Below are 12,358 nucleotides of genomic sequence, written 5' to 3' on the forward strand. Positions count from 1 at the left end.
CCTTAAAAATTGTTATTTTCTTCTAATTTTAAGAGTTCTCTTAAATTAAAAATAATATACTTTAAAGCAGTGAAAAACAATATTGAATAGTAAGATGAGATAAAGAGAAAGCACGTAGAAAGACATGAAAAACATTAAAATTGGAGCTTATATTTAGTATAGTAGCAATCAAAAAAGCCTTCTGGTTATCACTGACACCACTTAACTGACAAGAAGCAACACATTACAATATTATACAGTGTAATTCTTCTAAATGTACAGAACACCAGAAAATTCTGCCTGGTATTTTACTTGTACTGTAGATAATTAGACATCCGCACCATTAAAGAATCCTTAAAGTCACTTAAAAGTTATGAATTATAACCCAGAGTCAACACCTGTACTTAATTATATTCAATTGCTCAAGGGTTTTAAATTTTTAGTTGCTGCAACATAGCAACTCTTTTCAAAGAAGTAGGCAAAAAAGAAGTATCTTAATGAGAACTAGCATTCGGCTTTCAACAAGATTTTTCACTTCTTATTCCTTATTATATAACAGATACTTTAAATGTGTAAAAGGCAAAATTAACCAATGTTATTTTGTTTTTGTTTTGAGGTGGGGTCTTGTTCTGTTGCCCAGGCTGGAGTGCAGTGGCACAATCACGACTCATTGCAGCCTTGATCTCCTGGTCTTAAGCCATCCTACTGCCTCAGCCTCCTGAGTAGGTGGAACTACGAGTGCCTGCCACTGAGTCTGGCTAATTTTTTTGTTTGTTTTCAGTAGACATGAGGTCTTGTTATCTCGCCCAGGCTGATCTTGAACTGCTGGGTGGAAGCAATCCTCCCGCCTCAGCTGCCCAAAGTGCTGGGATTACACGTGAGCTGCTGCACTCAGCCAATCAATGCTATTTTGAATTAATATTGAGATTCTGCCCTACTTCCAATATTGAGCTGACTGTTTCTGTTGTATTTACCCTTTGCAATAGCCATCTCGCTATTTTCTTAACTTACAAAACATCACTTAGCCTTCTGCCTGTAGAAATAGCCCTGTATAAACTGACCTTGCCCTCACCCTTCAAACCTTACCATCACCAACTCTCCAGAAATCCTCAGCTCAAGCCAAACTCTTGTGCTGACTCATAAAGGCCAGAAAGTTCCTCATGTTCAACTGTCACTGTATTTTTTTCCCACTGACTTTTTTGGGCCTAAAAGATAAAAAAAAATCCTTTCTTTCTATTACAAATTACATCCGTCCTTAAAATGTACAGTTTAGTTTCCCCATTTACAAGGCAATTCTAGAGGAATTCAGGTCTAAGAGATCTCTACCATACTTGAGTCATAGAGGAGTTGTAGAGACTTGTCTGGAATAAAGTACAGTAAAACTGGTGGTTACATATTTTACCTTAAATATGGCTTCTGAGAAAATCCATTTTTACACCGAAAAAAATGCAAACACAGAAATTAACAAAAACTAGAATTCTGTCTTTATTAGCAATACTGTAAGATATGGATAAAGGGGACATGTGAACCATTCATTATTCAAGAAATAAACTAAACAGCAAATCAGAGCTTAAATTTTTCTAACATTGGCACCCACAATATCCATTTTCAATCAAACTGAATTACTATCAATGCTTTCATTTCTCATCTTTCATGCTGTTACTCATCCCTCTGCTTGGAATATTCTTCCTTCTTACTTCTGCCTTTCAAAAAAACCTTACATATCTTTCATGGCCTTAATGAAATGTCACTGAAATGGTATCTCCATAGCAATATGCCTTCTCTAACCATACCCTCTATTTGAACTGCCACAATAATCTATCCATTCTATTCATCTGACCTATAGCATGTACATCTAGTGTTAGAATATGTGATTCTATGCCTAGTTACCTAAGCTTGGGGATTATGTGTATCTTAAGTGTCTTTCTAGTTCCCACAAGGGCCCTGATCAGAGCTGATGCACAACAGGCCCAAAAAAGGGGTGAGCAAAAATACAAGTGAAGACATGACTGAAGAAGGAATCAATGAATGAAAGAACGCCTCAAGCAGTTATTGGCACTTGAATGAAAAACTGTTAGAGGGAAACTACAGATTCTAGATGAAGCTAAACATGCAGCACAACAGAAAAAGATCAATTTCACAGCACACAATAAGACATTTAGTGAGCATTTCAAAGAAACTAGTGCTAAGCATATCAATCACAAAAATTACTAGAGAAGCAAAGCATAAAACATGGCAAACTACAGACTGCAATAGAAGACACAAGAAATTTCTTGTTATCTCTTCATCCCTGAATTGCTTAACTATTAGTGAAGGACAGACAATTACCTTCTGAAGACTTCTTGGGTGTTTGCATTAGATTACATATTTTAGTAAATACAAACAATTGTTTAAATGTATAAGTCAAACTAAGGAGCGGGAACACATACCTACATACTATAACTAAGACCAATGAATGTAGCAATAAAAAAAGAGAAAAAAGACAGACCGAGAGAGCAGGGATAGATCAGCATGAATCAGGATTAAGGAGGGAAGGTCAGCATAAAGACGAGGACTTTCAGGGACAGATATTTGCAAAGGGACGCAGAGAGTAAAGAAGAAATTCCAGCAGGATGGAAGTATAACAGAAGTGATTAAGGGCACATACTCTGGAATCAGAACATCTGGATTCAAATCTGGATTTCAGACTGACTGATTAGTTGTTGGATGAATTTCTCTATGCCTTAGTTTCCTCTGTAAAATGTACACAATAACAGTACCTACCTCCTAAGACTGTCCTGAAGATTTAGAGTGATAATGTATGTAAACAGCTTAGGACAGGACCTCATACAGAGCAGGCCCTCAATGTATTTAACTATTAAATATATTTATAAATGAAAAGCTAAAGACAAGGTATACCAGGGTTCCTCAACCTTGGCACTACAAACATTTTGGGACAGATAATTATTTGTCGTGAAGGGCTGACCTGTGCATTGTAGGATGTTTAATGGCACCCCCTGGCCTCTATAAACTAGATGCCAGTAACACACACGCACACAAGCACCCCAGCTATAAAGATAAAAAATCTCCAGACATTGCCAACCTACAGTTGAAATGCATTAGTACATACTGAAAGACAAAAATTGTGCTATGTAGTAACCAAAAGATATTACCATAGGTTCAAATGTGTAGATGTCAATTGATGGAAAGGCTCTAACACTGAGCTGAGGAGTTGAAATTTAATTTCTTAGATGAGAAAATTCTATGGAGATTTTCAGAGACGTATTCTTGTGATCTTGCTCATGCTGGCTTGTTTGCTCCCACACTCTTTTTTTTTTTTTTTTTTTTTTTGAGATGGAGTTTTGCTATTGTTGCCCAGGCTGGAGTGCAGTGGCGCCATCTTGGCTCACTGCAACCCCCACCTACCGTGTTCAAGCCATTCTCCTGCCTCAGCCTCCGGAGTAGCTGGGATTACAGGCGCCCACCACCACACCCAGCTGATTTTTGTATTTTTAGTAGAGACAGGGTTTCACCATGTTAGCCAGGCTGGTGTCGAACTCCTAATGTCAGATGATCCACCCACCTCAGCCCTCCAAAGTGCTGGGATTACAGGCATGAGCCACCATGCCCAGCCTGCTACCACACTCTTTAAATGATTCTGTCAATTATGTTGAAGATCTAATAGCTTGGAGAGAGACTGATGGTCACAAAGTAGTTGACTGTTGGGTAGTAGTAACAGAAATGACATCAAAATGGTCAAATCTAAAAAAAAAAAAAAATGAAAGAAAACAAAGTAGAATTTACAAAGTTTTTTGGTCTAGTGGGCAAAAAGAATGATAACAAACTGAGAAGAAATAAAATGTGGCATGTCATCCACTTGGAGGTGTATAAATAGTTAAAAAGATACATATTTTAAGAGACATATTTAACAAATGTTTACTGGATGTTAATCACAAAGAGAATGGTGCCAGGAGCTGGAAGGCAAATTTCTGAGATAAGAAAAAGCGGAACACAACTAGTTTCTGCTTTCAAAAGTGATTACAGCCTAACAGGGGAGACAGATCAGCATATAATAAAAACAAGAAAGTAAACCCAAGATGAAGGGGAACAGGGAAGGAGTCAGTATTCACACAAGTTGATGGAAAAAGACAGCCTTCAAGGTTTCAAATTTGAGCACTGGTGTTATGTAGATGCCATTTAAAAGTTATACTAAGAGTCATGTACAGGTTTTGATGAAAGTATAAACTATTTTTAATCCCATATTTAAGTGTATTTTGATGCTGTGAGAAGAGAGAAAATACTGTCTCTGCTGGAATTTGAAACTAGTGTTTAAATGCTTGGAAAATGTAAACATGGGACAGGTATTAATCAGTCAAGTAAATGCCTGGCTGTTTAAAAAAACTATTTTATAACCTTTATTCATAATGTCAATGGATTTTGACTTCTATCTAATTTTTCTAAGATATAGAAGGGGAAATACAGAAATGTAAGAGGGATGACTCACCAAGAACACCTAGTGTTATAATAGGAAGATGATGGTCTGATTAAATCCACATTACACAATAGAGATCACATTCTTGGGTCCAAATGAAAAGTACTGTGATGGTAGATGCCCTGAAACCAGATAATATACCTCACAAAATACACCATTAAATGCATTAACACACAGTTCTAAAATGAGAGTAGAAACATGTAAGAAAGGATAAGACCTAGGGAGATGAAGGACAAGCAAGCAACCACATCCTTTGGGAGCAGACTGTGTAAGGGAGGCCACTGCATCCTCAATACTTTTCTGATGTAACCCACCTCAACTGGCCCAACAAAATGGGTATGATCTCCCTGAGATCTTTCTAGAATTTCTACTGCAATCTTATAACGTCCTAGTCAGTCTACAAGATCTAGTCCTCACCAGTTAAGCTAGAGCTATCACCACCAGGTGGTGCCAAATCAAAGCCAGTATCAGAATGGATTTGGATGGGCCAGGACCTTGTGACACCCCTTATTCCCCTGTGGTCAGCTGTGCAGGTTCATCCTGTCATTTCATTCACCTAGAAATACAGTGATCGCATATTTTATGCAAATGAAACTTTTGGACCCACACAGCACGTTATGGTACAGAAGGGGTGGTTATTGTATTATATTCTTGGTGGGCGACAGACAGTACAACCGGGCTGTTTTAAGACTAGTTACAAATGAATACATTAAAAAAATTTCTTTCCTGCTTTATGCCATATTTCATTAATATAAACTCAGATACAGTCTTGAAAGTAATCAGAAAATCATAAATAAGAATGCAGTGTACAAAAAGTTCTGACATCATCAAGACTTTAGTTAAATATGAATACATTTAATGCATCAAGGCTCTTACTAAGGAGCCATGATCTTTACGACATGATTTTCCACAAAAGTGAAAGGATATTATCAACGATCCTCCTGCAAAAAGTTCAGTGATCCCATTAGCTCTTTTGTCTACAGAACTATTTTGTCTTTAGAGCAAAAAACAGGGGGACTATTGTAATAAAGTAGAGAAATCTCTCCACCTATTTACCCCTCCAATGTAAAATCAGAACGAAAAAACTATGAATATTTATCTAAAGTCCTCTAAGAATCACCTCAAATTTTACAGTAAAAGACTTCATGGCAAACTTATTCCCCTCCATTTCCATCTAATCCCCCCACCATGGGATTTTAGCACTGCTAATATGTTATACCTGTCAAGATCTGATGACTGTATGTTATGTATTCATCTGAACAGAACCACTACACTTAGTTACAGGCTATCATCAACCAATTCATTCTCTTGCTAAAATCAAGTCATCCAATTACTCCTTGACTAATCAAGGCTGTTTTGGCTTTTTCTTTTTTCAAAAGGTACTCAACAGCATAAACAGTTCACTTACAAGAAATGGAAAGGGGCTAATCAGCAGAATTATTGTTTTGCTGCTACAATTTGCAGTATTTAAATTTAGTTGCTGATTGGACTGAAAGTTTTATGATATAGCATATGAAACTAGTTTAATACAACTGTGAAGCTGTGTAGCTGTATTGTCTTGCCACGGCTATATTGGTCTACTTTGTAGGATAAATAAGTGACTACTTTCTTTAAAATAAGGATATTTTAAAATAATAAGTTTTAGTGTACTTTCCCACATACACTGATTTTATAAACAAAGGTACACAGCTATTCATTCCCCAGTATTGTTTTTAAAGTTAGCACCTGCATGCAACACCATACACATGTGTGTGTTACATGTGTACAAAAAAACCCACAACTGCTTTGGTTTTTCACCTACATTTATTTTGGATTTTAAGCAATAATAAACTAAGGACAGAATTATTATTTAAGAAAATAAGACTTATCTAAATGTTTAAAATAAATACATGTTACTGCTTATATAATAAATAAAATGATTAACATTACTTCTAAAATGGGGAGTATTACAATTATAAGAATAATTCTGGGTGCCATAAACTATAAAGTTATTATCCATCAGTATTGCTATTCCTATCTATATAGAATGTCTGAGAGAACATCCAACAAAATGACTAATGTTGGAACACCAGACTAAAGCCTTGAGTTATATTTATGTTATGTATATATTTATTACAAAGTATTTAAAGAAAATGTTTTTATATGTCACACCTTGATTAAAATCTTCAGAAAATTTTGAAAAGAGATGAGATCCAGTCTTGAGACTGAGATTTATTTACTTCATTAAATACAGCGATATATTAACCAAACTAACAAGTTTTACTTCATAGGAGAAAATAAATTTATAAAATGCTATTATATTAAAATAATTTAACTTTTTAAAACCTTAAACCATAAATAAATTCTTTGTACCTTGAAATAACAATATACATTAATCATCAACAAGAACATACATCTTAGAAAATACAACATACATATAGGATTAAAACAATTTCTGAATTTTTTATACATATGCACATAGAAGTAACATTTCATAGAAGTAATCCTCCATAGGCTTATATTTTGCATACTAAAACCTATCTGGAAATGAAATTCTATACAAAATTGTAAAACTATACTTCCACTAAATGTCTGATACGGTTATTCAACGTATAAACATTTCAGCAAAGTCTTGATTTCAGAAATGCATTAACAAGGCATATAAATGCCAGTACATTTCAAACAAATTATTCTCAATTTTTTAAAAATTGCTACCTTTTAATAATATTTTTGAAAAGAGATTCAACCTGGTTATGCTGAGATTCAAAAAAGCAAATAAATTAAAAACCAAAATAAATGAACAGAGAACTAATATTCTTTAAAGATGAATACTTCCCAGAGTAGGCACACCTGCCAATATATTAAAAATAAGTAAAATCAACTACAAAAGTAATAAATCAAATGCCATGGTAGACTTGACTTCTCGAGACAGCATTTTCAAGCCGTCTTTGTGGCTTTGTTTGGCGCCATGGTCCTTTAAGTTTTGTCTTCATAAAGCCCTAACTAGTTGTAATCATTTGCAGCCTAATTGTGGACATTTATCTGCTTTTCTTATGCATAGAACATAGCTATTAAAGCTGAATGGTGATGGTGTGAAGTATAGGTTAAATTGGGTGAAATTAAAGCAAATTACTCCGGGATGTGGAAATCTGAAAATAGAAACCACCAATGATTTGCAACCCTCTTGATGATCAGCTTCACAGAACCCTAAACGACAAGAAAACTTACATATTTTAAAGTTAACTAGGTTTTTAAAAATAATATGTATAAATGTATTTTTAACTACAGCACCTCTTGGTAATGGTGGAAAGATTATTTGTTTAACTCAGCTGCAACGTTAAAAAGATCATGAGTTTCTATTTTAAATAGTGCAGTTCATTTTTTAAATAAGATTTCCATTTCTTCATATAAATTTTTACCTATAAGAATGCATCCAACTATATCACATACATAGTTAATACAATGCCATATAATATTTTGCTAGCTAAGTTTTAATCCTGAATAAAAGTATAATATGAGACAACATAAGTTATAGTAACAAAAGCAAACTAACAATGTAAACATAAATGTATTATATGCCTATAACTTATATAGGCCTACTTATACACATGCTGTATATAAATATGCATGTGACTAGCATAAAGAAAAATACACAGTGGCCTAGAAATAAATGTAAAACAGTAAAATATAAGAACTTTATTTTCATTTATCTAAAATCTTATTGCTTGACTAACAGATTTGGATAAAGACAATAAAAACATATATTGACCAGGAGCAGTGGTTCACGCCTATAATTAGCCAGGTATGGCAGCACACACCTGTGGTCCTGGCTACTTGGGAAACTGAGATGGGAGGACTGCTTTAGCCCAAGTGTTCGAGGCTGCAGTGAGCTATGATGGCACCACTGCACTCCAGCCTGGGTGACAGACTAAGACTTTGTCTCTTTAAAAAAAAAAAAATACACACACACACACACACACACACACACACACACATAGATAGATAGACACACATACATACATTTGCACCCTGCATATTCTCTTAGGTAACCAAACAAAGTAGTCGAAAAAATGTACTAGACCACATCTAGATAAGCTTACACTGAAGTAAGAAAAAATTTCTAGCAATGAAACTGATATCCTTCCTCCTTTTATTGACTGCTATGTAAAAAGCGTATTTTAGGTATCTAGGGAGAGATGAAATTAAATGACATGGCCCATACTGTCAAGGAGTTTACAGTCTAGTAGGAGAAATAAGACAAGAATATGTAACTAAACCATGGCATCAAAAAATGATCCTACATGTAGAAGGCTCCTAATCTCAAAGGCAGGAAAAGTGAGCAAAAGGGGGACAGACGAAGTTCACAGAGGATATGGACCTTAAAGGACAAAACTTAGCTAGAGGTACAGCAAAGGCAAGGGTAGAATACATAAGGTACATTCAGGACACAGAGTAAATATGTCTGAGGAAAATTTAGAACAGAAAAGAAAGCACTGGAAAACATACTAATGTTTAACAATGAAGAGTATTGAGTACCAGGCAGAAAATGGAATTCCCAGGAAGGCACGAATGTTTTACAAGAGGCAGTAACATAATCAAATGCAATGACCCTCAAGCAATGATACATCTAATTTCTCAAAGGCCATATCACAACTAAAGGTGATATGCCAAATATGTGGTCCTATGGAATAACAGCAATACTCATGGACCTTAAGTCCTTGTCCCATACCAGGCTACGAAGGTATTATTGCTTCCTATTTAATAACTGTATGCTTATGTGTTATCTTTTTGTTTTATAGTTAGTATAGTACAAAATTGAATATTCACTGCAATGTTCAGCTACTGGTAGATTTTTATTTGTGTGTATTTTCAAACCATGGCAATAATATATACGTCTAAATAATACTATGATGCTGATAAAACTTAAGTTAGAAATTTAACAAAATACACATAATTATTTTCTGTTTTGTGAAAAATAGACTTTTAACCCCTCTATGGTATAGGAAACCAAGTACTGGGGCAGATCACTAAGTGATATAATTGTGGTTAAGAATCACTGCTCCTATAATCCCAGCCCTTTGGGAGGCCGAGGCGGGCGGATCGCTTGAGTACAGGAGTTTGAGACCAGCCTGGGCAATGTGGCGAAACTCCTGTCTCTGCAAAAAATACAAAAATTAACTGGGTGTGGTGGAACGTGTATGTAGTCCCAGCTACTCAGGAGGCTGAGGTGGAGAATTGATTGAGCCTGAGAGATGGAGGGTCCAGTGAGCCTTGATAGTGCCACTGCACTCCAGCCTGGGCAACAGAGTGAGACTGTCTCAAACAAAGAAAAGAACCACTGCTCTTAAAGGAAGAAACTGGAAGAAGACTGTAACAGTTATTCTCAAAAATCTTCTAGTGTGCAGATGATTCCCAGCCCACTCCTTGATTCTGGATTACTAGGGAGAAGCCTGAGATTCTGCATTTTAAAGCAAACATATGTCTGAGACAAGTGATTACAGGGTCACACTGATCAGAAAAAGAGAGCCCCAGCAACAATTTATTAGTAAGGGCAGTTAAATGGTAGTGAAAATAGAATAAGGCAAAAAAAGAAGAGAAGTACTTCCAGAAAAGACTGATAGAACTTGATGACAGATAATAGCAATAATATAAGGCAAATCAATTTTATTAATTAAAAATAAATATGCCGGGTGTGGTGGCTCACGCCTGTAATCCCAGAACTTTGGGAGGCCAAGGCAGGCGGATCACCTGAGGTCAGGAGTTAGAGACCAGCCTGGCCAACATGGTGAAACCCCCGTCTCTACTAAAACTACGAAAATTAGCCGGGCATGGTGGCAGGCACCTATAAATCCCAGCTACTCGGGAGGCTGAGGCAGGAGAATTGCTTGAACCCGGGAGGCAGAGGTTGCAATGAGCTGAGATCGCGCCATTGCACTCCAGCCTGGGGGAGAAGAACGAGACCTTGTCTCAAAAATAAAATAAATAAATAAATATATATATATATATATATATATATATATATATATATATATATATATATATATATATATATATAAATAAATGTTTGGGTGCCTGCTTAGAAAGCTGATCCAAAAAAAAAGTTTTTTCATTTAGAGTACAAAACTACTCTATTTAACCACATAGACTGTTTAAAAAGAAACAGAAATGAAACTTTTAAAACGTGGTGGTACAATTTGGCTGTGTCCCCAACCAAATCTCATCTTGAATTGTAGTACCCACAATCCTCATGTGTGGTGGGAGGGACCTGGTGGGAGGTAATTGAATCATGGGAGTGGTTACCCCCATTCTGTTCTTGTGATAGTGAGTTCACACAAGATGTGATGGTTTTATAAGGGGCTTTTCCCTTTACTCATTCTGTCTCCTGCCGCCCTGTGAAGAGGTGCCTTCCACCATGCTTGTAAGTCTCCTGAGGCCTCCTCAGCCTCATGCAGAACTGTAAGTCAATTAAACCTATTTTCTTTATAAATTACCCAGTCTCGGGTATTTTCTTCATAGCAGCATGAGAATAGACTAATACACACAGCATTTAATAAAGTTTCAATTTATCCTATGCTCTGACTTTCTCCCATATGGACAAGGTTAGAAGGTTAGAGTTGGCACTACGCAATACCATTCTGCATAGTGCAGAATGGATACCATTCTGTTTTATGTTTGGTGATCCCACGAAACGGTTTAATTTTCACAAACAATAAGCTTCACCACATATTTAATGAAGAGGAAACATTTTTATTACAATTCTGGTAATGAAATTTCATCAGAATTATACTGCTCTAACTCTCATAATAGTGTGATGTTTTAAACCAGTATTATGAAGTATTACCAAGATGAGATAAATGTATTTTCCAGTCAAGAATCAAAGTAAATAGGTTCTTAAAATTTTTTAAGTGTAAAATTTCACAGGTATTTTCTCCCCTCTCCAAATTCACAGAATTATCAATAACAATTTCAAGTTTATCACTGATAGGTAGAGATTTGTTGTTCAGGCATTTATCTATACTCTCTTCTAGCTCCCCAACTACTGCTTAGGAATTTACGTAACTTCAGGTAAGATTATTTTATCTGCTCACAGTGACTACTGAAGGATTGATTGGGCATGTGACTTAAGCTGGTCCAATGGAGGAAATTTCAAAATTTATTGCAAGACTTGAACAAAGTCAGTCTTTTTCCTCTGACAGATGTGAACTAAAAACCACATGGCCAGTGAAATGCAGGAAGCCATGTTACAACCATGAGAGGAATCAGCCAAAAGATGAGTAAAGCTGGCCAAAAGGTAGAGTAGAGACAGAAAGAAATTAAGACCTTAGGGAAAGTTCTGAGTCAGTGCACTGATCATGTATTGCATGAAACCATGTATCTTATCTTCTCAGTAACTGCAAGCCAATATATAGACTATCTTTATTTTCTAAGCCATTTTGAACTGGAATTCTACTGTAACTGAAAGTATTACAACTCATATATTACGCTTCCTACCTAAATAAAACATTGTAATAATGAGTATCTACTGTCCCATATTTAAAATGGGATACAGCAAAAACAAGGGTGGAATGCATAAGGTATATTCAGAAAACAAATATGTTTAAGGAAAATACATCCAACTGACATAAGAGGTGAAAGAAAGGGTATGTTCAGGCCAACAACAGTCCTGTCTTCAGAAATTGTGAGTTCTGCCATTAACTTGCCCAAGGTCATATAGCTAACAACAATCTTTTTCAAAGGTTTCTTCGTTTCCAAACACTGATAATATGTACTGAAAAACACTGTGAAGCGAAATTTCTGACACAAAGATGGTATAGAACGAATGTTGATCCTATTCCTGCCTTTGCTGGAGAGTCCACGCCAAAGAAATTCTTGTTCCCTTTCATCTAACCAAAGTCTTTCCAGTTAAAGTTTTCTTCCTTAAATGTAAAA

General features: G+C 35.8%; 1 protein-coding gene across 3 annotated transcripts in view, besides 1 other annotated feature; it reads right to left on the reverse strand.

Moving 5' to 3' along the window:
• OLA1 (Obg like ATPase 1) overlaps nucleotides 1-12,358 on the reverse strand; it is a 176,086-nt gene that overhangs the window by 80,846 nt on the left and 82,882 nt on the right. The gene's annotated exons all lie outside the window — the stretch shown is intronic.
• Nucleotides 4,876-4,925: a silencer, noted in NCBI's record as "silent region_12123". NCBI's record gives its function as "represses an Ori minimal core promoter by ATAC-STARR-seq in GM12878 lymphoblastoid cells {active_cell/tissue: GM12878}" and the evidence as "EXISTENCE:reporter gene assay evidence [ECO:0000049][PMID:35858748]".

This window comes from Homo sapiens, chromosome 2, assembly GCF_000001405.40.
Source record: "Homo sapiens chromosome 2, GRCh38.p14 Primary Assembly".
Lineage (NCBI taxonomy): Eukaryota > Metazoa > Chordata > Mammalia > Primates > Hominidae > Homo > Homo sapiens.